Source organism: Homo sapiens, chromosome 6, assembly GCF_000001405.40.
Source record: "Homo sapiens chromosome 6, GRCh38.p14 Primary Assembly".
Classification (NCBI taxonomy): Eukaryota; Metazoa; Chordata; class Mammalia; order Primates; family Hominidae; genus Homo; species Homo sapiens.
In genome coordinates, this window is record NC_000006.12 from 154,469,953 (window position 1) to 154,497,570 (window position 27,618).

The 27,618-nt window shown below is 43.0% G+C and overlaps 1 protein-coding gene across 4 annotated transcripts in view, besides 1 other annotated feature; it reads right to left on the reverse strand.

The window, feature by feature from the left end:
• CNKSR3 (CNKSR family member 3) overlaps positions 1-27,618 on the reverse strand; it is a 123,171-nt gene that overhangs the window by 82,438 nt on the left and 13,115 nt on the right. Inside the window, exon 1 of one of the 4 annotated variants that reach the window (NM_001368118.1) lies at positions 8,377-8,539. The exons of the other annotated variants lie outside the window; for them this stretch is intronic. The gene's annotated coding sequence lies outside the window, so the exon portion shown is untranslated. Of the gene's footprint in view, positions 1-8,376; positions 8,540-27,618 lie in introns of those variants that run through there. 4 annotated transcript variants of the gene reach the window in all.
• Positions 6,980-7,180: a silencer, noted in NCBI's record as "peak6228 fragment used in MPRA reporter construct". NCBI's record gives its function as "represses an SCP1 promoter by STARR-seq MPRAs in K562 erythroleukemia cells {active_cell/tissue: K562}" and the evidence as "EXISTENCE:reporter gene assay evidence [ECO:0000049][PMID:32103011]".

Genomic DNA, 27,618 nt, shown 5'->3' on the forward strand with positions numbered 1-27,618 from the left:
TTGAGACTACAAAGTTTTTTCAAATTGTTGCAAATCTCCAAAAAATTTTCCAGTACGTTTACTGAAAAAAAAAATCTACTTATAAGTGGACCTGTGAAGTTCAAACCTACATTGTTCAAGGGTCTACTGTAATTTGAGAACATTTCCATCACCCCAAAAAGAAACCCTACCCACGAGCCATCATTCTTTATTTCTTATTCTCCCAACTCCTGTAATAAAGAACCTACTTTCTTTCCTTTTTTTTTTTTTTTTTTTTTTTTTTTTTTGAGACAGGGTCTCACTCCATTGCCCAGGCTGGAGTGCAGTGGTGCAATCTCAGCTGACTGCAACCTCTGCCTCCCAGGTTCAAGCAATCCTCCCACCTTCAGCCTCCCAAGTAGCTGGGACTACAGATGCAAGCTACCATGCCCAGCTAATTTTTGTGTTTGTAGAGACAGGGTTTCACCATGTTGTCCAGGCTGGTCTCAAATTCCTAAGTTCAGGAACTCCACCTGCCTTGGCCTCCCAAAGTGCTGAGAACGAATGTACTTTCTATCTCTATGATTTGCCTGTTCTGAATATTTCATATAAATCATTTCATACAATATGCAACCTTTTATCTTTGTCTTATTTCATATATCATCAGGTGATCAAGGTTTATCTATGTTGCAGCCTGCACCAGTACTTCAGTCCTCTTCATGGCTGACTAATATTCCATTGTATAGATATACCACATTTTTATCCATTCATCAGTTGATGGACACTTGGGTTTGTTTCCTCTTTTTGGCTATTATAAATAATGTTGCTATGAACATTCATGTATAGGTTTTTAGGTGAATGTACGTTCTCAGTTCTCTTGGGGATATACCTAGGAGTGGAACTGTTGAGTCATGTGGTAACTCTTGAACATTCTGAGGAACTGCCAAACTGTTTCCCAGAGGAGCTGCACCATGTTACATTCCTGCCAGCAATTTATGAAGATTCCAATTTCTTCACATCTTCACCAACACTAGTTATCATCCATCGTTTTTAGTATAGCCATAATAGTGGGTAAGAAGTAGTGTATTATTGTGTTATCAGATTTTAACATCCAAATTTTAAGTAGGTCCTCAGAAACAGAAACTAAATACCAGACAGTGGAAGAAAAAAAATCCATATTACGCCAAGACAGTATTCCCAAACTTCAGTCATTCAGTCATTCAAGTACTACCCTCATGATTTTACCAAATCTGAGTGTCATTTCTACTTATTTACTTGTTTAACAAATCAATTCATTTTTAATTTCATTTTTATAAGAACCTTTAAGTCACTGCTATAAATATGTGTTGCTTGCCATAAATAGAAATACCATGAATGCACACTTTGGGAGGCTGAGGCAGGCAGATCGCTTGAGGTCAAGAGTTCGAGACCAGCCTGGCCAACATGGTGAAACCCCATCTCTACTAAAATTATAAAAAGTAGCCAGGCATGGTGGCACAGAGGCATGCAATCCCAGCTACTGGGGAGTCTGAGGCAGGAGAATTGCTTCAATCCAGGAGGCGGAGGTTGCAGTGAGCCAAGATCGCATCATTGCACTCCAGCCACGGCAACAAAGCAAGACTCCCTCTCAATAAATAAATAACATGAATATAAATATGAAAGCAAAGCAAACTTAGCTAGATGGAACTGTCTCCCAGGGCCTGCTTATTCATGCTAAAAGAAAAATTTGCAAATAAAAGGTGCTGGAAAAATGACAGCTACAGAGAGAATCTTTCCTTGACCTCATCAAACAGACTGGACAGCAAGGTGCTGGAACCATCAGTGACACAGTAGTTCCCTGTCACGTTTGTGTCTCTTATAACGTAATCTCTTTACTATCCCAGGCACCTCACTTTGAGAGACCCTGCCATAACGCTTCAGGAAATGCCAGTCCTGAAATAGAAGTCCAGTTCCATAGTGGCCATCATACTGGGGGTTTTGATGGACAATTCTCTACATAGCCCATTACACTTGGCTGAGGGTGTCCCTACTTCATGGTAACAAACCTTGTTCAGCAAATTTCCAATAAGTCTGCCCATTCTCTAGCTGCAAGCACCTGGCTTTTCAAGTTTCAACAAAAACAACTTTCAGAGCAAATATACGTAATACAAATTAAAATAAAGAGCACCTGCCCTGGGCAGGCAAGCCCAGACAGCGCTATCCATAATGTGACAAAGTGCCTGGATGGGCTTTACTGACAGAACTGGCCCCAAGTATAATTTAAAAAAAACACACACACAATGCACTGGTTGTGCTTAAATACAATTCAGCCTTCCTCACCCAGCCCAACACACGTACTATTTATAGTGAGATAAAAGCAGCCAGTGACAGCATATTTGGATGCCTCCAGATTTTAAGAATAATTATCATCTGTCATCATCCAAGCTTAATAAAATACTAAATAGTATATTACATTAAAAGAAAAGGAGTGATGATTAAATCTGAAGGTACTCCACTGCCTCTGTACCTGGGTACTCCTCCTGGGCCCTCAGATCTCTGCTCACACATCCTTTTCACTGGGAACACTTCCCTGGCCCTCAACTCTAAATCCCCCTTATTTCGTATCTCGGGATACCTATCATTTCCCTTCCTAGCACATCTCGCTATGTAGTTTACTCTATGGATGGCTGGTGTCTGTCTCCCAACAACAAACCCCATGAAAACAAAAACCACGACTGTTTTGGTCCACATCATGCCGCCAACAGCTACAACAGTTCTTGGGACAGAGGAGATATTCAAGAATTATTTGCTGAATGGATGAGTTCAGAGGATGTCAAAATTGTATAAATTTTTTTTTATTTTATAAGGTCTGGCCATACTTAGAACTACCACTAAGAGTACATCTTTAAAAGGAAAAAAAAAAAAAAGCAAAACAACAACAACAAAAAAACGTACAGGGCAGGACTCTACAACTTTCTAGAGTTCCCTGCTAACTGACTACAACCCAGGCTATCCCATACAATAGGAACCTCCCTTTCTTCTAAACTAAGTGAGGTATCGAGTCTATCAATGAGCTTTTATGGAGGGCCTGCTGGTCAGTGGAGGGAAGTTGGTGATGAAGGAAGGAAGAAGGCAAAGAAACTAAAATGGACTGAGTGCTTACCATGATACACACATTCCTCCTTCAGTCCCCAAAGAACCCTCCGTGATCACCATGGTGCATCTTAGGCTTATAAAATGTAGTAACTTGCTCAAAGTCACACAGCTAATCTATGGTCAAACAGGAACAAGTATCTAGTTCATTATGAGCTGAAGACGTTAGACAAGTGCCAGAGAGCACACACACGTTGAAAGGGGCCAGAAAATAATGGACAAAGTTAGATGATAGAGCTAGTGGGGCTATTGTTAGTTTATCATTTTCTATGCGTTAGGCATAGGACTAAAGCATTGACTCGCAAAATTTGATGTGTTCATCATACAAGCTCCAGGAGGTGGGCACAATGATTATCGCCATTTTTTTAGGGTGAAACTGTAGCTTAAAAGAGTGACCTGGAAAGTGGTTGAAATCTGAAGCCCAAGCTGTCTGAGTTCACATTCAGAGCAATGACCCCTGCCTCCACCTCCTGCCACGATGCTGGGGGAGAATGGCATAAACAAGGCACAGAAGAGGAATGAGGACGTTGTACAGTGAGCGCATGCATTTAGGGAGTGTCTACTCTACAGGGTAACGAGTAGAGGTGAACGACAGAGCCCGGCTCTTACAGAGCATCTAGAAGACAGTGAAGTCAGAGTGGGTCTGACATATAGGGTCTGGAGTCAGGTCGCCTGGATTCAAACACTGACTAGCTGTGCAACTTAGACAATCACTTAATTTTCCCATGCTCAGTTCTCTCCACTATTTTTTTTTTCTTTTTGAAACAGAGTTTTGGTCTGTCACCAGGCTGGAGTGCAGTGGCATGATCTCAGCTCACTGCAACCTCCGACTCCCTGGTTCAAATGATTCTCCTGCCTCAGCCTCCCAAGTAGCTGGGATTACAGGCACGTGCCACCACACCCAACTAATTTTTGTATTTTTAGTATAGACGGGGTTTCACCATGTTGGCCAGGATGGTCTCGATCTCCTGACCTTGTGATCCGTCCACCTCGGCCTCCCAAAGTGCTGGGATTACAGGCGTGAGTCACTGTGAATGGCAATAGTTATCACACCTACCTCATGGGGTTATAAAAAAAAAAAATGGGACAGCTGGGAGCAGTGGTTCACACCTGCAATCCCAGCACTTTGGGAGGCTGAGGTGAGCAGATCATGAGGTCAGGAGATCAACACCATCCTGGCTCACATGGTGAAACCCCGTCTCTACTAAAAAACATAAAAAATTAGCTAGGCATGGTGGCATATGCCTGTAGTCCCAGCTACTCGGGAGGCTGAGGCAGGGGAATCGCTTGAACCCGGGAGGCGGAGGTTGCAGTGAGCTGAGATCGCACCACTGCACTCCAGCCCGGGTGACAAAGCAAGACTCCGTCTCAAAAAAAAAAAAGTGGGGGGGGGCAATATAAAGTCCTTCAACATACCCAGCACACATCAATATTAGCTATTATTGTTCTTGGAACTAATGGAAAACAAAAACAAGGTTAGATGGGAAAGATATGGCCAAAGTAAAGGACCGTGGAAGGATTGAGTTCAGCAGGGTCTAAAGAATGTGCAAGATAGACGGGGGCTTGCTAGAGTCAGAGATGCCCTTGGGAAGGCAGCTGGGCCATCCGGATGTGGGGTGGTGTGCCCCTGGCACAGCCGTAGACTATAGTGTCATGGGAGAAAGAAATGGACAGGATGAGATGATGGACTACGACATCACATGAAAGGCAAAAACTAGCCAAAGAGGGTGCCAAGGGTTTGGACCAGGTTCAAACTCTACACTAGACAGAAAATGTGGCACAAAAGAGAGAGGAGAAGTGTGGGAAGAAGATGAGGTCATGCCTTTCCTCCTGTGCCTGCTGACTTGACAGTGGCTGTGAGTGAGTCAGAAAGTTGGGCAGAGACTGCGGGCCTCAGGAGGCTCCAGACCAGGGCCCTGCGGAAGAGCTGGCCCAAGGAAATCACCATTTACTGAGCATATACTATGTTTACATTGTTCATGGTTAAATCTAAGTCTTGTTTTTTCCTTCTGAAAAGTCTGCAAGATCACTCCTGATCTCCCTTGTACACGAGGAAGCTGATGGAGAGGGACTGGGGACATTGCTGAAGATGACACAGCTAAAAAGTGGTAGAACTGGTCTTGAGGTCCAGGCCCATCCGACTCCAGAACCCATTGTCTTCCCACTGGGAGGCTCAGCCAGAGAAGCCGGGAGGTAGAACAAGTTCTGCTAAGAAGCCAGCACCTCAGAGTTACAACACACGCCTGGCCCTTCTCCACCTCGTCCCTCCTGGCCACCATCTCTCCCCCTGGGCGCCCTTCCCTCCCCTTCTCCAATCCAGCACTGTGCTCATTAGGCAGGACCCAGCAATAATCCACCCTCATCCATGAAGTTTTCACGCCCCCTCCCCGGTGGAAATGGTCACCTCCTCCATCTGCTGCGGCCCTTGCTGTCCTCCCTACCCACCGGCATGTATAGACAAGCTTCAACTCAGGTGTGGTGTTCTGGCCACCTTATGCCACCCGCTGACAGATGGGGCTGATTCTGCTATTGGGCATTTCCCAGGGCCTCTTGCTCCCTCTCAGCTCCATCCAAGTCCCCCTGAAAGCTGCACTCTCAGTCAAATGTCAGTCTTCTGGGGACAGGAGGACTCCCCAGCCCTAGGCCTTCCTGGGGCGGAGCCACCCTGCTGCACCTCTGACAAATTCCAAGTACTGTGGCTAGCTCTGCTCCACTACGTCCTCCTCCAAACTAGAATGTAAGTTTCTAGAAAGAAGTCATTTCCCTGTGCTGTTTGTAGTGCCTTACACGTGGTCGACGACCAATAAATAACCACCATTGTCAAAGATGATAAAAAAACCTTAAGTACAGTAACACCTCACCTCACACAACTTGGAACCAAAAGGCAAGCCAGGGGACCTCTAGGCAAACAGTGTAAGAAGGCTTGGGGGTGTTGTTTTTACCCTGCAAACCCAGCAGTGATGCCAGCAGAAGTAATAATATCATTTTTTTTTTTCGGATATGGATGGTTCAGCGTTAGAAAGACTTGAAAAAACAAAATGAGTCCTCCTTCTTTGAAATGTTAAAGATATGATAAAACCTATGCCATCAAGTACATTCGCTTGACTTAAGGCCTTCTAAGACAGACCTTCGGGCCGGGCGCGGTGGCTCACACCTGTAATTCCAGCACTTTGGGAGGCCAAGGTGGATGGATCACCCGAGGTCAGGAGTTCAAGACCAGCCTGGCGAACATGGCGAGACCCTGTCTCTACTAAAAACACAAAAATTAGCTGTGCGTGCTGGCAGGTGCCTGTAACCCCAGCTACTTGGGAGGCTGAGGCAGGAGAATCACTTGAACCCAGGAGGCGGAGGTTGCGGTGAGCCGAGATCGTGCCATTGCACTCCAGCCTGGGCAACAAGAGCGAAACTATGTCTCAAAAAAAAAAAAAAAAAAAGACAGACCTTCACCCAAGGCCTGTTTGTTCTCATTTTAGAAAGCAGAAAAGTTCTTTTGTTTCCCAGCCTTCAAGAGAGACAAGTTTAGTAAATCCAAAAGAGGAGCCAGTGTGTGTTACTTGGAGCATCGGTTACCTAAAAGCCAAGGACAGTAACTTAGAAAACATGGCATTCTGGGGTCACTCGGCAAAGTAGTCATACGAGTATCGGTAGGCCCTGTCATTATGGTAACCACACACTTCAGTGATTCTGAATAATTCATTCTTTCATAAGCAAGGAATGAAGAAATCATTAACTCAGGTTGAATGTACTCTGTAAGCCCAAAAAGTTAAAAATTTATTTTAGAAAGGTTTCCATCCAAAACTACAGGGAAAAATTAAAAATATCCAGGTCTTAAAAATATCCAGGTTTAAAGACCTTAAACCAGGTCTTAAGGTTCGGTTATCAGGAAAATCCCTATATATGAAACAGTTCATTCCCTCATGGGCCCAGCAAACAGAATGAGACATCATATCAATTCTCTCAGAAGAACTGCAGAATGTCTACTTTCTTATCTTCTTTTAACTTTGCAAATAGCCCAACTATGAAATGCACATGGCTGTGAGGTCAGGATGTCCTGAAGCCAATTTAAGGACCTAAAAAAACCTATTTTTACATAAAGAACCAACTTTATTTCAAAGCATTTCAAAAAAAGACAATTCCTTCAGATTTTTCAATCACTGAACTATCAAAAATGATTGTAACATTATAACATCATGGCTTTTATTGGAATACCTGGGCAGCTATCAGCTTTGCAGAGTGAAAAAAAAAAATTCTGAGCTTCTTTGTAATTTTTATTTTTATTATTTATTTATTTATTTTTGAGCAGAGTGACCCAGGCTGGAGAGCAGTGGTACAATCTCGGCTCACTGCAACCTCTGCCTCCCACTTTCAAGCAATTCTCCTGTCTCAGCCTCCTGAGTAGCTAGGACTACAGGAGCACACCACAAAGCCCAGCAATTTTTTTTTTTTTTCTGTATTTTTAGTAGAGATGGGGTTTCACCATATTGGTCAGGCTGGTCTCGAACTCCTGACCTCAGATGATCCACCTGCCTCAGCCTCCCAAAGTGCTGGGATTACAGAAGTGAGCCACGGTGTCTGGCTGCTTCTCTGTAATTTCTAGTAGTTTCAAAATGTCACTGATGGAATGACATTGATACTAGCTATTGGTAATTAACTAGGCCAGCAAAGCTTGGGCCCACCCAAGGTAGCCTGAAGAGCAGGACTGCTAATGGACTCCCAATCAATGTGCATGGAGGCTCTCCCTAAATACTTGTCATCAGCTCTCCTGCCATCCACACTGCTCTTCAAACACCCAAATGCACTCATGTGACTCCCCTGATTTAGACCTTCAGTGATCCTCCCATCATTCACTACAAAGATGAGTCCAAATCCCCTAACATCACTCACCGCCAGGCACCAGGGGAGCCATCACAGAAGAACGTCCTGCTCTGCTGGGGCTTCCGTCCTTATGACGGAAGAGAGGCAGCGAACACACAAACCCAGAACAGGGCAGGCGGTAAGTGCTTGGAAGAAGGCTAAGGCAGGCACCGGGGCTGCAGAATGGCACTTATCCAAGAAGTCCTCTCAAGAAAGGTGAGTACAGCCTGAATGACATGACCATATGACAAGCAAAGGCCTCCCAAAGCTGGCCCGAGGCCTGCTGGCCAAGCTCCTCCTCCGCCCGTCCTCCTCTTGCAACCTGCACTCCAGCCTCGGGAGCTGGGATTCCTTCTCCTAACACACCTCGCTGCTTCCACACTCCATGCATTTGCATTTGCTCTTCTTCTGCCTACAGCATCACCCACACACCTATCTGGTCTGGCCAACTCCTCCTGATCCTCCAAGGCTCCCCAGAAGCTTCTCCTCCTTTTTGAGGCCTTCTCTGGACACCAACCACGCACCAGCTTCCTCACCAGCAAGATTCATCACTTCTCCCTTCTGCCCCTCTGGACTGCACCGTGTTTATTCATGTGTCTGACGCCTGAGCAAAGTGGAGTTCCTTAAAGTCCCGGAGCTGTGACACTCATCTCCATAGCAGCAGCCCCAGGTCCTTCAAGACAGCCGTGCCTCTAGGGCCTCTGTTAATAAAGGAATGAAATGCACATCCTCTTTTTACAATGCCATCTTTGAAAAGGTCTGCCCATGAAGAAAGCACAAACAAATGCCTTTTTATTTAAAACTCCCTTTGTAAAAATCACTCTCCTTTTTTCCTGAAACCTGCATCTTTTAAAAGTCCTTTTGGGTTCTTCCCCCTGTAAAACTATCTTGACACCTAGCCATGTATCACGGCACATGAAGCAGCTACAACACTGCAGTTGGAAAAACATTATGCTGTGAAGGAAGAAACTCTATCTGCCAAGACACTTAAAGGCTTGCTACAGATATCATGAGAATGCCATGCTGGCCACAATGAAAGCAGCTTGGACACTCCTTTACAGCCTGTGATCATTTTCACAAACATTTCCTAAATTCTACATAGTAAAACTTTCTTTCCAAGGAGGACAAATTGTTTAAAAAGGGGGAGGAACATATTCTTTTCTGGTTTTGTTTTTCTGTAGTTAAACTCTGAGCTTTAAAAACACAGCCTATACCCCCCCATCCTTAGAACACCCAAACAGAAAGTCATTTGGAAGTAAAAAGGAAAAAAGTGGCCAGGACTCAAGACAAATGGCTCCCAATAAAGGAGATGGATTCAGAGAAAAAAAAAAAAAATATTCTTTCAGTGCAGATTCCACTACTGTTACTTGAGTTTCCATTCTGTTTTCAATGTGAGGCAAATAAAATTGTAGAAGTGAGAGCCTCCCATGTCGGTGGAAGGGAGTTGGATTCAGAATCAGGTTCTAACTGCAGAAACACAGGCCAGATCTCATAAAGACCAGCCCAAGCCACGCTGACAGCTGGCCCTCCTCAAGCCTAAACTAGAGCTCCAAAACTGAAGACCCCCTAAAAATAACAAAGAAAGAGCATTCAGCTGCTCCATCCAAACTCAAGCACAAAAGAAAGCGGGGGTAAAAATCGTTTCCATATTTCACATAAACACAGATCTCACTGCGACAGCTAGGAATGCATGAGTCAACCAAGGACTGACAATAATTACTGCACACATCGAGGCCCCCCACTACAATTCAAGACGAGAATGTGCAACACAGAACGAAAATTATGGACGTCTCTATTGGGAAATGTTTGTGCTTACATATTTCAAGATGGCTCTTTTAAAAAAAATAAAGTGTCCTTTTACGTGAGCTTTTAACTTTTTTGTTGTTGTTGTTCCAGAGAAAGCACCTGGAAGAGACTTTAAAATTTAAAACTTGTCCCAGAGTCACGTGAGATTTTATTCTTGCAACTTACTGTAACTGTACACTGTGAGTTTCTCCCAGCCCCCAGACTCCCTCACACGGTGGTTAAGATTAGTTCTGCCCCTGAACAGACTGGGGGTTTAACTGCACTGCAGTGGCCCTTGTGGGGCAGGAACAGAGGCAAATAAATCACAGAATGGCTGTAATTCCAGAAGAACAATTTTGGGGGAAGTAAACTTTCTCGTTGTTGGCTGTCAGGAACGGAAAGTTATCTATGGTGTACAGTGTTGAGAACCAGGCACCAGATGTCTGGTGCTGGGGCCGTCTCATTTCATGAAAAGGAATGTTTTCTTTTAAATGTCTAAATAACAAGTACCATTTCCTGAGCCCTTCTGTATTCCACAACATAAGCTGGGCACTCTCTCCTGCTGTTTCATTAATGCTCATAACAGCCATGTGATGTATTATTATGCCCACTTTGCAGATGTGAAAGCAAGCTCCGAAGGGCTAAATGCTCAAGGTCATACTACCATTGAGTGCTAGAGTGAGGATTCAACACGGGTTATTTTACTTTGCCCCAGACTGGCTCTGCTTTCCCCCTACAGCAGGTGGGGCACCTGTTCTGGTGTGTGTGACTTCCGCAGGCAGGCAGGTAAAGCCTTTGAGAGCGGCGGAGTCTCATGAGCAGGATGGATACAGGAAAACAAAGCTGTCTCCCTGGCTCATTCTCCATGCGATTAAATTAGTCAATGCTTACTACATGGATGAATGCAGAATTTAAATCTAGTGTCTGAAGAGCCTTTATTAACCATCATGTGAGCGTGTCCCTGGTTGCCCACTATCAAAGAAGTGACACTACTGAACTATAAACATCAATTTTACATCCAACAGAAGATATACCACGTTCTTGACCTCCTTATAATCCCATAAAGCCCAGTTTCCTTGAAAGCCAGATTAAAACAGTTCACTGAGCATGTGCCACCATATCTCGCAATTACTATTTCTTTTAAAGCCAGGCATGATCCCATATCTTTAAGAAATTTATTTGATAGCAGTCTTATGCTTATTTATTTGATAGCAGTCTTATGCTTATTTGATAGCAGTCAGTTCTAATTTATTTGATAGCAGTCTTATGCATATTTGATATTTATTTGGCTTATTTATTTATGCTTATTTGATATTTATTTGATAGCAGTCTTATGCTTATTTGATATTTACTTATTTATGCTTATTTGATATTTATTTTATTTGATAGCAGTCTTATGCTTATTCGATATTTATTTATTTTGCTTATGTATTTGCTTATTTATTTGTGCTTGTTTGATATTTATCTATTTTATTTATAGCAGTCTTATGCTTATTTGATAGCAGTCAGTTCTAATTTATTTGATAGCAGTCTTACGCATATTTGATATTTATTTGGCTTATTTATTTATGCTTATTTGATATTTATTTGATAGCAGTCTTATGCTTATTTGATATTTATTTACTTATTTATGCTTATTTGATATTTATTTTATTTGATAGCAGTCTTATGCTTATTTGATATTTATTTATTTTGCTTATGTATTTGCTTATTTATTTGTGCTTGTTTGATATTTATCTATTTTATTTATAGCAGTCTTATGCTTATTTGATAGCAGTCAGCTCTAACACAGTTTCTAAGTCACTGAGCATGAAAGTCCATCTCTCCTCGAGAAGTTCCCTCTTTTAGGTAGCAACTGGCAGTGTGAAATAGAAGAGACCTGATGCCTTCAAGAGTAGATGAGGAACACAGGCACATGCTGCCCTGTCTCCCTGAGAATGACATCATCCTTTTATGCTGTATGATTTTATGCATGTCTGTGTTTTGTTCTTTTTAAAGGAGACCTGATGACCAGGTTCTGGTCATCTTCAGAGCACTGAAAAAAATGAGTGACAGCAGGTGGCTGTCACATTATCAGGCCAAGAAGGCATCTTCCTCTTTTTCTAAATAACGTGAGCCAAGGTAATAATGACAGCATTCCAAGAACATCTTCTACTCCCGGGACAACTGCCACTGTACTTCAGGGAGTAACCAAAACACCAAGTCCCATCAGTGGGTTTGCTGGGGTGGCAAGCTCTAATGCACAGTACAGTTCTACCAATCTGTCATCAAGTGCCTTCCAATGACATCATCAGCCCATGAATGTAACAGAACAATTATCTGCCCCGTGACCCCTTCCAAAGAGTTCCCCCTTATTAATTCTGTGTCCTACTTCTCGGCACTAAAATTCAAAGAAGTTACCTTGCCCTTTGGGTCAACCTTACCAACTTCTCTCAAATAGGCTTTGTAAAATTATGAAACAAACTTCGGAGAAAGATACAAGTCCCACATTCTCCCTATGCCTAAGGGATCTCAGAGATTGTTTATCAGGCCACCTCGCACTTTAATATAAGCCTGGCCTTAAAAGAAGACTAAATGTTTGTTTTAAGCAGAACTGGTGCCACAGTAATAAACTTTCAGGGCAGGAGATCAGTTCTCCCTTGTTAGACTGACCCAAGATATTTTGCCAGGTGCAAGCCAGCCTGCCACAAAACATCCTAAATCCACCATCCAGTCCCAAAGTGGGTGGGCCATGACACCTTTCTGTTCCTAAGAGGCACTTAGATTTTTAGATTATTTTTTAGATTAATAAAGTTAATTAAGTTTGATTGCATAAGCCCTACTTCTAAAAATTTGAGGTTTATCTAAATATAGTGATGCAGAGAAATCGTTAAGACAGTATTCAATGTAAAAAGGAACAGATTCAAACTGTGCAGAAATCCATTTACAAAAAGACAATGATTATGTGCAAATAAGAATAAACATGTATGCAAATGTCTAGGAAGGGTTCCAGAAGGTGCTGACCCCCAACTCTGGGAAAGGAGAAGGGTATAGCATAAAGGGGACTATCTTTTCCAACCTATCTAGAGTTCTGTTGTTTAAATATTCTTTTACAAGAAAGTATTTCTGTATTATTTGACAAATAAAAATGAAATCTACAGGCAACGGAAAGATAATGGGGGGAAGGGTGAATATATGAAAGTAAATCACATTCCATAGCTCTTGAATGTTTAATCAGAGATGATTTTCCACTAATATTCCTGTGATGACCGATTTGCTCCATGAGGATGCATTTCTGCCTGCCACGTTAGAAGCAGCTGTTTCCTAGCATTCATTATCTGTTTCCTCCAAGGCCAGGAAAACTGAAAGGCAGTTCTGTCTGGTTCCAGAAGCTAAACATGCAAAGCTGCATCCACACCTTTACCCCAGTGGCATCTTGGACGAAGGACAGGAAGTCTCAAACAGAGCCTGCTGTCTTTCTATTTGAGTCTAACCAAAGCATTCTCCCTAACCCTTCCTCCTGATCACACCTAGGCCACTGAGCCTCTAGGTATCCAATAATCCACACTAGTCACAGCCTGTTCATCATCACGCCAGCCATCATATGCAGACATTTAACGTTCTTTAACCTGTAAGAAAACAGAAGATCACTGATGCACTCTCGGCAGCCTCTTTCCATTCTGAATCAGGCTGGAGAAGAGGAACAGTGCGAGTACACCTAGTGATTGCTACAACTTGACAGTATGCCACGCACAACCAACTTCACTGCCCAGCACTACCAATGGGCAGAATCCTCTTAGTTTTCTAAATCACTTCACCTAGAAGTCCCCTACCCTCACCCCTCATCTGGCTGGCACTTATCCTCGAAAACCATCCTCAAGCAACTGTCTTTAAAAAAAAAACGAAACAAAACAAAAAACACTTTACTGCTTTTTGTGGAGCATGGCCAACCCCTAGGCAGGACACAGAGTCAGCCTTATTATTTTTTATTTTTAAAATACTTTACTGCTCCTTGTGGAGCACCAACAACTCTCTAACTCACTCAATCTCCCTCTCTCCCTCTCTCTCTCATTCATTTGTGCTCCTCTGAACAGTTCCTAGACCTGTAAGTACATCTGAATGCATCAGATCTTGTTGTGTAATAAATAATGCTGACATTTCTCCTGCTAGACTGAATGCTCCTCACCAGTGGATCCTCCAAACCCAACACTGAGTCTAGTCCCTCACACAGAAGGTTAATAAGGCTTCTTGATTGGGACTGTACTACAGAACAGGAAAAATGCTAGGATGTGCCACATTATTGCTGGTGGATGGGACCTACAAAGCCATAGGTTTTATGGGATCTGGGGAAAGGGGGCCAATCAGAGCAAGATGGAAAAATAGTATAATCACAAACCTTCTGAACTGGGAGTCTAGAGAATTTGGTTCTAGTCTAGGTCCTGCCACTTAAATCTCTGGGCCACAATGTCATTAACGACAAAATAACTTATTCACACAAAAGAATAAAATATTTGGACTGAATGATCGAAGGTCATTATCAACCCTCAAAATTAGACTTAACGATGGAAGAAAAAACATGGAATCCATAGTGCTGAAACCACAGTCCTAGGAAAAATGCCTGCTCTTGTTATATAACCAACAGAAGTCAAGAAACATCTTAATATACCTAATACGCAGGCTGTCATCCAGTTCACCAACGTGAACAGGATTTGCATCTGAGCACTGCCTCATACCCAGTATTTGTTCACTATAAGGATACTCCTGGCCGGGCACAGTGGCTCACGCCTGTAATCCCAACGCTTTGGCAGGCCAAGGCGGGCAGATCACAAGGTCAGGAGTTCGAGACCAGCCTGACCAACATGGTGAAACCCCATCTCTACTAAATACAAAAATTAGCCGGGCATGGTGGTGCATGCCTGTAATCCCAGCTACTCAGGAGGCTGAGGCAGAAGAATCGCCGGAACCCAGGAGGTGGAGGTTGCAGTGAGCTAAGATCGCATCATTGCACTCCAGCCTGGGCAACAGAGCAAGACTCAAAAAAAAAAAAAAAAAAAAGATACTCCTTGTCTCTATCATCTCAAACCTAAATATGATTATCCCCTTCCCCCTCCCCCAAAGAAAATGAATAAATACTTGAAAATAAAAATCAATTGTTACCATCTGGATGGAGGCGAAGCTTCTTTGAGAGTTTAACCAGCACGGGAACACTGATGGCCCACGCTGGGTCTTAAGGCTTGAAAGCTTGAATAGCCACACAGGTCTGGTAGCTGCTACTGACCTCCCTGTCTCAGGCCTTTGGAGAGGTGGTTTTTAGCTTCATTCATCATCACTGCTTTCTCAGACACCAAGACTGCCAATTCCACTGAAGGCAGAGCTGCCAATTAGCTTGGATTTTAACTTCTCTTTATGGGAATTTTTGGTGGATTTTTTCAACTTTTAAGTTCAAAGTACAAGTTTGAAAACTGACAGCATCTAAAATATGATGTACATGAATCATTAATTATGAATCACATCTCCCTACACAGAGTTCCAAACCTATAATGTTTGGGAGGAGAGGATTGGTCTAGGTATCTTACAAATATCTTTTGAAAAGTACTACTCAACACACAAAAATTAGACAAATATTAACTTGGAAACTGATCTAGAAGAAATTATATGTGTTTCTAAAGGGTTGGAAAGGGGCTTCTTTGGCGCATACAGAATTTTCCAGTTTTAAAAGAACTTTTCTACATTAATCACTTACTAAAGCTCTGTTCCAGAAACAGGCACACACTGAATAAAATATAGAAACAGTTTTTTCCCCTGGCTCAAAGATGCCTTACAAAAAGTCTCCTTCATCTATAAAAGGCAAATCAGGTCAACTTTTAAGTTTTTTATTTAACACCTGCATTTCCCAAAACGCATCAGGTATGAGTCCTGCTCACCATAAGACCAAATCTGTTCTTAATACGAACAGCGTGATTCACGTCACTCCAGGTTACTCCCTGCAAGGCGCCTCTTTGACACGGTGGGCATCATTCTTTCTCCTCGCTGCACAGGCAATCTAAAAGTCCCTTGAGAAGTTTGAGACTTTCTGTGATTTGGAAACTGAAGAAGCAACTCTGGTGACTAAGGAACAGGGGTAATCACCCTTCTGGTGGTTGCTTCTGTAAGATCTGCTTCTATAAGTTACTCCCAACAGTGCTTATAGGAGCAGATCTTTCCAAATAACTTCTTGGCTCCCAAGAAGAACCGGGCTGGTTTCCTTAATTGGGCTTGGCGCGACGGGACACCTTCCATCTGGGGCTGTTCTGCCAGGACAATAACTCACTGGCATACCCACTACATCGTGGACACACCCATGTATTACTGCCACACCCACCAGTTATCAAAAGCAGCAGTAAAGCAGGAAATGTAGTAAGTGTTGGGTATTAACTATGGTAAAACAAGAGATATGGCCTTCAAGGGTGTGCCTTTGTGGATGCTTCCCCTCGGCCGTGTAATGCCTACTCTACACGTCAATATCGCCAGCCCTCAGGTCTCTTTATGCTAGTGGAAGAACTGAGGAAAGACATTTAAGAACTCACTTACCATCACCCCTCGACAGCATGACATTTAAAAAGGTACAACTGTCTTCTCTTTTCTCTCTCTCTCTTTTTCTTTTTTTTTTTTTTTAGACGGAGTCTCACTCTGTCTCCCAGGCCAGAGTGCAGTCGTGCGATCTCGGCTCATGGCAGCCTCCGCCTCCTGGCTTCCAGTGATTTCTCCTGCCTCGGCCTCCTGGGTAGCTGGGATTACAGGCACGGGCCACCACGCCCAGCTAATTTTTATTTTATTTTATTTTATTTTATTTTATTTTATCTTATTTTTTGAGATGGAGTCTTGCACTGTCACCTAGGCTGGGGTGCAATGGCACGATCTTGGCTCACTACAACCTCCCCCTCCTGGGTTCCAGCAATTCTCCTGCCTCAGCCTCCCAAGTAGCTGGGATTACAGGCACACACCACCACACCCAGCTAATCTTTTGTATTTTTAGTAGAGACGGGGTTTCACTATGTTGGCCAGACTGGTCTCGAACTCCTGACCTCAGGTGATCCGCTTGCCTCGGCCTCCCAAAGTGCTAAGATTACAGGCGTAAGCCACTACACCTGGCCATCTTTTCTTTTTTTAAAATATTTTTTAATTAAAAATTTTTACTTTTTTAAGTTAAAATAGAGACAGGGATCCCACTTTGTTGCCCAGGCTGGTCTCGAACTCATGGGCTCAAGCAGTCCTCTCGCCTCAGCCTCCCAAAGTGTTGGGATTACAGGCATGAGCCACTGTGCCCAGCCTTCTCCTCTTTTTTTGCGGGGGCAGGTGGTGAGGGGGTTCAAGTGATTCTCCTGCCTCAGCCTCCTGAGTAGCTGGGACTACAGGCACGTGCCACCACACCCAGCTAATTTTTGTATTTTTAGTTTCAACACCATTTCATATTAACACACTGCATAAAGGATGTGGGATCCAGTTTTCTCTTTACCATTCCTCTCACCAATGGGCAGTTTACTATTTATAAAAGGCAGAGTATCCTTGTTTGATTTGAGATTGAAACTACCCCGTTGGAAGATGTGATTTTTTTTTCCAGGATATGCCTGAGTTCTATGCAACAAAAGTAGCACCTAGGCTTTATTAAGCACTTAAAATATGGCTGATATTATGATAAATGCTTCACTCACATTATCTCATTTAGCCCTGAAAACAAATCCTGAAAGTTTAGTAACAGCATGATTCCAAGTTTAAAGATGAGCTAGTTGACTAAACAATGTACATAAATTGGCCAACGTCAGGCAACCATGAGAGGAGTAAAGGATCCAAACTTGGGCAGCTCCTGAACAGCCCTGGTTCTCCAGTACTGTGTCACCCTGCAGCAGCCACAATGTTTCAGAATGAGGAACGGCCCACCCACAAACACACTGATTTATCCAGCCCCAACAGAGACAGGAAGAGACTGTGAATGAATGGACACATGAATACATTTTCTCTCCAGGCAAAATCCCTAAAAGTAAAACAATTATTCTCTATTGCAGGCAATTAACTACAGGCATGTGCTCCCACCTTTACCCAAAACAGACGCGCTGAAGCCAGAGCCATGGTTTTTATAGGCTGATTCCAACTTTGTTGGACAAAGAGACTTTAGGGTTTTACCTTCTTCCCTGTCAAATATTTACCAAAGACCTTTATTGCCAGGGCCCTAATTTGAACAAACAGATGCCATCCTTGACCATCTCAAGGACAAATGTTAACACTACTATCACTTGACTTTGAGATGAAAATAATTATTTTTAAAAGAGAAAAAAGAATGTTAACTACATGAAACAAAAAACAAACCAAACAACTCTAATCTTTACATCTTATCAACAGTATGTCACTCTCACTATAACTTTAGATCTGTAAAGCGCAAACAAAACTAGCAATAACAACGATAAGATCTAAACTATGCAATCTGCTTTTATAAGAAAAGTAAGGTAGTCTTATAATGTTTTTATAATGTTATAGTTACATAATTACCACCAAAGATGATAATTACCAACCTTAACCCACAAAATTGGTGTGAGATCTTTTGATGACAATTAAGTCATTATAACAGATTGATTTCACATCATTTACCACTCCCAGGAAGTCTACCACAGTTTCATTTAACAAGGCAGATTCTTCTTAGATTTCTTCCTGAATTCCTAAGGTTGCTTATGGACATTTGTACTTTTTTATTTCTTTGTTATTAGTTACTACTCTTAGGAAATGTTCCTTTTCTCCTTAATTCATGAGAGCATGACTTTAGGAGATGGAATTTCTACAGCATGACTGGAACATTACATATCAAGTTAAAGTTCATCTTAAAATCTGAAAATACGAAAAAGATACTAATCCACATGCTATCTTAAGGAAATATTTTTTCAATATTCATTCTAGGGATGGATCTTTTTAAAAGATAAAAGAAAAGAAATAAGAACACCCTCAGGATGTGAAAACAATTGATACCAAAAAAAGTTACAAAACACAATTTCAAATTGCTAAAATATACAGATGAGGATGCTAAATTCAAAGTTAAAATAACAGCTATCCATGTCCTCCAAGAGATCATATACTCAGAAATCATGACTGGGGTCAGGGGTGACAGGAGCAGAAAAATTGGGACTTTTTTAAAAAGGTAACTATTAAAAACTTAAAATGTACCTTGTTAAATTACTTTCAAATCACATTCCACTGAATTCTAACTTTGGACTGTTGAAAATGGAAGCTTTCCCAGAACTGAGTGTACGTTTAACCCCAGGAATGATGCGACAACCTCAACCACATGAACAATCTGGAAAATGACACAAAGGGGAGGGCGAGCGGCCACACCCTTCAGAGGTGGGGTTTTGTGGGTTTTGAGTTTTTTTTCATTCTGCCTAATCAATTCCCATTCATTTCAAGTATAACCTGTGTGTTCTTACAGGGTTCAGGAACTCAGAAATAAATACCCACATGGCTGCTTCTGGATCTGGTACAACAAATATATGATTCCCCTGGGCCTGTGTCTGAGATGCTCACTGTATGTATTTTCAAGATTTCGGTGTAAAGTCACCCTATTGCTGCTGGGCACGATGACTCACGCCTGTAATTCCAGCACTTTGGGAGGCCAAGGTGGGCAGATCACTTGAGGTCAGGAGTTCAAGACTAGTCTTGGTAACACGGTGAAACCACATCTCGACTAAAAATACAAAAATTAGCCTGGTGTGGTGGCGCACGCCTGTAGTCCCAGCTACTTGGGAGGCTGAGGCACAAGAATCGCTTGAACCCGGGAGGTGGAGGTTGCAGTAAGCCGAGATCCCACCACCGCACTCCAGCCTGGGTGACCAAGTGAGAGTCCATCTCAAAACAAACAAACAAACAAACAAACAAACAAAGTCACTCTATTGTATATTAGCGTATGGGTATAAATACTAATAAATACTAGGTACACTGAAATCGGGGGATGAGGAGTGTTCTGTTGGAAATACTGGATTATATTGTTTATCTTACATGTACCCTTCTTTGGGGGCGTGGGGTTAGGGAATCCTAACCCTCAGATGATTGATATTTCTAACCACTTCCAGAGAAAAAATTCCAACCAATGCTATGCTTTGGCTTATCCCACCAGAGTGAAGTCTCTGAACATATAAAGACTAAATTACATACTAAGCTAGAAACAATTCCTAATCGTTCATCAGCAAGGGGCAGCAGATCACAGGTGATAACACAGAAAACACCCACACCTCAAGGTGTGACCTCCGGGGAACACTCCCCTCCAAACTTCCGCCGTCTGGGCTCCTCCGCCTTCCCCCACCCCAGTCTCCCTCCTCTCCATTCATCATGGCTCCCCTTTCCTCTCCCACTCCCTGTCAGCCCAAACTCCCATCTCTTTTTTTTAGCTCAGGTCAATGTGTTAGTAGTTTCTTCTTTCTTTAATGAAGAGTTTTTAATGTTTTCTTATGCTTAAAGTCAGCTCAGTTTTACATTTCACAGATCAAAGGAAATAAATACCCAGTAAGTCAAGTTCCTTTTTGCACAGAGCCTTTCAGTGACATTTCCCCTGGAGATCCAGGAGCTTCCCCTACAGTAGGGTGACTGGGCCACTGCAGGTCTAAAACCCAGTTAGTGCTACATCCCATTAAAGAGAGGACAGTGCCTGCCTGATAGAATTCTGAATCAAATAATGAGCCCTAAAAAATAAATACACATGTATGCATATTTATATGTATGTATCTAAGTATATATATCATATGTATTATGCATGTATATATGATATATAATATGCATATGTATCCATGTATTGTGTGTGTATATACGTATACAATATATCTAATATGTATAATGTATCTATTATATGTGTGCACACACAATACATAGATACAAATACACACACAGTTCCTCCACAAAGGAAGGCCACGAAAAGATCTTCATTCTTTCCTTGGATCCCACCTGCTTGGAGACTTACAGAGGGGCTTGGTGATCTAACATCCCACTCCCGACTCTCCAGCCTCATCTATTTCCATTCACCTCACAACAGAGCCACCACATCGGCTTCTTTCAGTGGCTGACAATGTCAAAATGCCATGCTGTCTCTTGCCTCCCAGTTTTCTGCCAAGAACATTCTCCTGCCCTAGACAGAGCTACCTCCTGCTCATCCTACAAGTCTCTATTTATTTTATTTAAATTTTTTTTTTTTGAGATGGAGTTTTGCTCTTGTTGCCCAGGCTGGAGTGCAATGGCATGATCTTGGCTCACTGCAACCCTCTGCCTCCCGGGTTCAAGTGATTCTCCTGACTCAGCCTCCTGAGTAGCTGGGATTACAAGCGCCCGCCACCATGCCCGGCTAATTTTGTATTTTTAGTAGAGATGAGGTTTCTCCATGTTGGTCAGGCTGGTCTTGAACTCCCGACATCAGGTGATCCGCCCACCTCGGCCTCCCAAAGTGCTGGGATTACAGGCGTGAGCCACCGCGCCCGGCCCAGGTCTCAATTTAAATGTCTCTTCCTCCAGGAAGCCTTCTCTTGTGGCGCCCATTCATAACTGCATGAGATACTCCTCCCTCTGCACTTCTATGATGCCCTGTAGTCTAAATGCCTGTTGATTTGTCTGTATTCCACTTAACTGAAGTCACCAAACAAAGACAGCCCCTGTCTTATTCACTGCACCTAGAAAAGAACTTGACAAACGGTAGGTACTCAATAAACAGCTGGTGAATTCTATTTCAAGTTGATTGGTTTCTCTCCAGTTGCACCAGTTTTCCTGCTAACAAATGCCTTCCACCTAGGGTCTGTACCAGACATGACATACATATGATTTCATGGCATTCTGAATGTTTCAGATAAATCTTAAAAGATATAAAGGTAAATACTTAATAACAAGGAATTCTTCCAAGGTTTTGGATCTGTCCATTACAAATCTTTTCTACTTACATGGGTAATTATAGAATAACACCAAACTCAGAGAGAGAGCTATTTACTCATTTCCTGATCTTCATTTCCAAAACAATGTGAAAAAAAAAAATGAAGAGATAATTTCTGCTGAATAACTCTTCTCTGTAGAAGCCACCAGTACATAGTCATTCACTAAATGAATGGCATTGTTAGTATTAAAATAAGGGATTGCATAATCTACAGTGTCCTGTTACCCAGTTCAGGGAGGGCATAACATGTCCCCATTTATCAGATATCTAGTTACCAAACAGCTGATTACAGATTTTAAAGGAATTAAAATAAAACGCATTCAGCATCCTGAGAATACAAAGAGCTGTGTGCATTGAGGGAGGTGCTTCACGAGCAGGTGGTTTCTTAGGACATCGATTCCTCTCCTCCTGTTTGTTCTTGAATTTACTCATCAGCTGTGTGTCCCACCAACCCACCAAAACCACCCTGTCAAGTTCACCAACCTGCACACAGCTAACTAGATACAATAGTCAATTCTCAGTCATCCTCTCACTGACCTCACAGCAGTATTTGCCCCAGTTGATCACTACCTTGTTCTGGGAACACCTCCTTCGCTTGCCTCTGGCCATCACCCTCTCCTATTCCTCTTCCTACATACTGGCAGCAACTTCACTGCAATCCTTGCTGGTTGCTCAGCTCCCAGATTTCTAAAGGCTGCGATGCCCTAGATTCCTTTCCTTGTCTCCCTACTCTCACTCACTTGGTGAGGTCATCCAGTCTCAAAGATTTAATACCATCTGCACCCCAATGGCCAGCAAATTTGTCTCCAGTATCAACCTTTCTGATTAATCCCAACACATATATCCCACCATCTCCCTCACTTGGTGGGCAAATGGGCACTGCAAAATTAAAAGCCAGATCTTCCCAGCACTTTGCAAGGCTGAGATGGGCGGATCACTTGATGAGGTCAGGAGTTTGGGACCAGCCTGGCCAACATGGTGAAACCCCATCTCTCCTAAAAATACAAAAATTAGCCTGGCGTGATGATGCATACCTGTAATCCCAGCTACTAGGGTGGCTGAGGCAGGAGAATCTCTTGAACCCAGGAGACGGAGACTGCAGTGAGCAGAGATTGTGCCACTGCACTCCAGCCTGGGTGACAGAGTGGGACTCTGTCTCAAAAAAAAAAAAACAAAAAACAAAAAAAAAAACAACACAGATCTTTCCTTAACCTGCTTCTCCCACCTCTCAGGAGATGACAACTCTATCCTTCCAATTCCTTGGACCAAACACTTCAAGGGTATCCTCTCACACTCAAATTCAATCTCTCAGTAAATCCTACTGGCCTTTCAGAATACCCGGAACCTGGCCACCTCTCAATCTCTTTCATGTGACTATTGCCATGGCATCCGAACTAGTTCCCTGATCCCACCCTTGCAAAGCCACCATTATCATTTTTAAATGTAAATCTGATAATACTTCTTAGCTCAAAGCCCCCCAATAGCTCCCCAAAACACTGACTGTAAGCCAAAGTACTGATCAGGTCTCTAGGGCTCTACACCCTCAGCTTCCCCTTGGTCACGATGCCTCAGGAACACTGACCGTCTCAGGACACATGCACTCGCTGTTCCCTTTGTCAAGAACATTCTTCCCCCATTAGCCACATTGCTCTGTGAAATCGTTCCCTGGTCATCCTAGTTAAAATTGCATCCCCACTCCTCCAAATCCACCTGTGGCCCTTCCTAATGACCTCTATCACATTCACGTGCTATGAATTTTACAATCATCTTTCTACCCTACCAGAATATCAGCTCCGAGAAGATAGGAACTGCTGTCTCTTTCATTCATTGCCACATCCTCAGCTCTCAGAACAGTGCATGGCACACAGAAGGCACTCAATAGATGTGTTTAATGAATGCACAGTGAATAGCAACCTTCTCCAGCCTTAGTGGAAGTGCCAATTAACTGGGCACTTTAGTTAACAGGCAATGGGTGAGGGGAGTTGGAGTTAGCCTGTATTTATCCATTCTCATATTGTTATAAAAAACTACCTGAGACTGGGTAATTTACAGAGAAAAGTTTAGTTGACTCATAGTTCTGCAGGCTTTACAGGAGGCATGGCTGGGAGGCCTCAGGAAACTGACAATCATGTCGGAAGGCGAAGGGGAGGCAGGCACACATGGCAGCAGCGAGGAGAGAGCACCAAGAGGAAAGTGATACACTGTCAAATCAATCAGATCTCTTGAGAACTCACTCACTATCACGAGAACACCTGGGGGACATCTGCCCCCATGATCCAGTCACCTCCCACCAGGTCCCTCCTCCAACATTAAGGATCACAGCTCGAGATGAGATTTGAGTGGGGACACAGAGCCAAACCACATCACACCCCCTAATGTGTTCCAGTGACACTGAACTCCACTGAAAGCTTCACTTCCAGAGCTAGCTAGGATTAATAAGAAAGATAAGTGGCATCATTTCAGAATACCAGGTAAATTAATATATCAGTCTGTTCTCACACTGCTATGACAACATACCTGAGACTGGGCAATTTATAAAGGAAAGAGGTTTAATTGATTCGCAGTTCCACATGGCTGGGGAGGCCTCAGGAAACTTACAATCGTGGTGGAAGAGGAAGCAAACACATCCTTCTTCATATTAGGTCAAGAAGAAGAATAAGAGGCAAGTGAAGGGGGACGCCCCTTATAAAACCATCAGATCTTATGAGAACTCACTCACTATCATGAGAATAGCATAGGGGAAACTGTCCCCATGATTCAATAACCTCTCACCAGGGCCCTCCCATGACACGTGGGGATTATGGGAACTACAACTCAAGATGAGATTTGGTTGGGGACACAGCCAAACTGTATCAATGGGGTTTGTTTTAATTTTAAAATCAGACATGAGAAATTAGCAAGTTTTAATAGAACTGTCAAGGAAACAGAACACGGAGAAAGGTAAATATAAGAAAAATAATTTATAAGAAAAACAATCTACCATTTTATAGCTAATCCTATTAAGTAAAGGATTTATTAACCTAACCTGAGAGAAGGCATAGAAGAAATCACCTCTACTTCTAAGGGCTTATTGGGCCAATGATGAATAAGAAAACAGGCCACCCTTCCACCCTCTGCCACCCTCTTCCTTCAGCACCAAACCTTGAAGAGCCCTACACACCCCCGTTCCTCCCCTGTCAGTATTCTATTCACCCTCTTGCCTTGGCAACCCTAAGGAGGCACAAGTCCCAGGGAAGTGGCTCACCCACCCAAACACCAACTGCAGCCAGTTATGTTAGCCAGAACTGCTTATCTCTCCAAGCACTGGCCAAGACTTCAGGGATTATGCCAAGATGCATTTTGCATTGATCAGCACTGATTTTAGATCTCCATTGACATGCTGTCCTGTAGGTCTCTAATCCTCTGATTTTATTTTGTAGTCGATGACTTAGGCTGCATTGTACAGAAATAATTCCGGGTGTCATATTCATGTACATTGCATCATTTCACACTCAAGCTTGAGGACCTGAATTTTAACTAACACTGCCCTATTCTAACACATTTCGCGTGCCAGGCTGCATGATATTTGCACCTCATTACAACATGACACAATTAGAATGCTGTAATAAGAGAGGGCACTGCATTTTCTTAAATGTTTGAATCATGGAAGTATCTTTGTTGGTATCAAGGAAGATGTATCATCTACAAACTAGAACAGCTTTTGAGATTGGTATCTGTAAATTGTGCTCACTCTTAAACCCACATAGCAGCTCCTTCCCAGAATTCAACACTTTTTTTTTTTTTTTTTTTTAAGAGAGAGATAGCTTTTGGGCTTTTCTGTCACCCAAACTGTAATGCAGTGGTGTGATCATAGCTCACTGTAGCCTCGAACTCCTAGGCTCAAACAATCCTCCTGCCTCAACCTCTCAAGTAACTGGGACTATAGGTGTGCACAACCACACCCACTCATTTTAACATTTTTTTTTTTTTGTAGAGACAGGCTCTCACTATGTTGTCCAGGCTGGTTTTAAACTCCTGGCCTCAAGCCATCCTCCTGCCTCAGCCTCTCAAAGTGCTGGGATTACAGACATGAGCCACTGTGCCCGGCCTCAACACATTTCTAATGATATGGCCACACTAAGTCACTGAGGCACAAAACCTGGACTTAAAGTTCTCCCTCTCACCACTCCCACGTGTATTCAGACCCTGCCAGGGCGCAGAGTACTCCTGTGTGGCGCCTCTTGCTGCATCCTTCCACCACCTTTCGGTTCTGAGGCCTCTGCTTGAGTTCAGGCCCTTTCAACTCTCACCAGGAGACAGGCCCAACAGCCACCTCCTCAACCCTCCCCATTGCCACGGCTCTGTCATCAAGACACCAGCTTTCAAAGCTCTGTATTATATCTCTATTATCTAGTGAATTCAGAACAAACTCCCTAAAAGTCAATGTCTCCCAAACTGTGATTCACAGACCACCCCAAAAGACTTACCTGGCCACCTGTTAGACATGCGGCCGTCACTATACATGACGTTACCAGAATTTCTGGGAGTTAAAGCCAAGAACTCTTTCATCCTGACTAGTGACTCTGATGTCCACTAACAGCTAAGTACCCACATCCTAAATCTTGCATTCAAAAGACAAGGCTAGACACATCTGGCTATGATGGACTAACATCTATCAAGCCAACCCCGACAAAACTAAAAAAGAAATAAAGACGAGCTGGCTGTTTGAAGGTAATAGAGAACAGCAAAGGCAACCAGGACTTGAGGGGTCACAACCCTGGAAAGACATGAAAGTGAATCCAACCTTCTCTCCCACATTTCCGTTTAAGGCTTTTCTGGTTCCACAGCAGCCCGCAGGAGAGGCCAGGCAGGAAGCAGCCAGGGCTCTGAGTACAGGAGAAGCACCATCTGATTGCTTTAATAAGAGCAAACAAGAGAATAAAGCCATCTTTCATTCTATCCTCTATAGATAACCAATGTGGGCATTTTGATGTATTTCCTTCTTGTCTTTTTTAAATATACAGTCATATCATCTCAGAATTTTAATGTATGAGAGCATTAGAACCTAAAAACATGAAGGGACTACCCAAAGGTCAAATAGTCCCCATTAAATATATTTTAAAATCCACCTTGTCCCATTTACAAGAGCCCAATCATATATTAAAAAGAGAAAAGAAGTAGATACACTATTCTCTAGAATTTTGAGTGGTAAGATTACAGGTTAAAATTAAGTAGATCAATGCGATTCATAATGCTAATGATGTAAATGTTTTTCCCTCATCCTCAAAACCTTTTATCAGGCCAAACTTACCCACCTAAGTGCCTCTAGGGGAGACGTCAGGCTCTAATGCCTCTTGATTCAAACCCTATTTGCTATCTACGCAAGCTCAGACACATCAGGGTTTGGTTTCCTTAACTCTAAGATGAAGATGATAAAAGCACCCGATATCAAATAAGCATTGTGAAGGCGAAATGAGATAATGCATGGGAAGCCTTAGCAAGAGCCTGGCCCTTAAAGAATCGTGATAAAGGCCAGGCGCGGTGGCTCACTCCTGCAATCCCGGCACTTTGGGAGGCTGAGGCAGGAGGATCGTTTTGAGCTCAGGAATTTGAAACCAGCCTGGGAAACGGAAACATAATGAGACCTCGTTTCTACTAAAGTTCAAAAAAAAAAAATTAGCCAGGTGTGGTGATGCATGCCTGTGGTTCCTGCTACTTAGGAGGCTGAGGCAGGAGGATCTCTTGAGCCCCGGAGGTCAAAGCTGCAGTGAGCCCTGAATATGCCACTGCACTCCAGCCTGGGTGACAGAGGAAGACCCTGTCTCAAAAACGAGAGAAAGAGAGAGAGAGAGAGAAATGCTATACATGTCAGCTGCTCACTGCTGCCTCCCTACTAAATTGCCAGCTTCCGGACACGGATTTCATTTACACCTAACTCACCTGGCTGTCCCTAGCATAAAGCAGAGTAATTGGTACAAAAAAGGAAATTTGTACTTTTTTGGTTT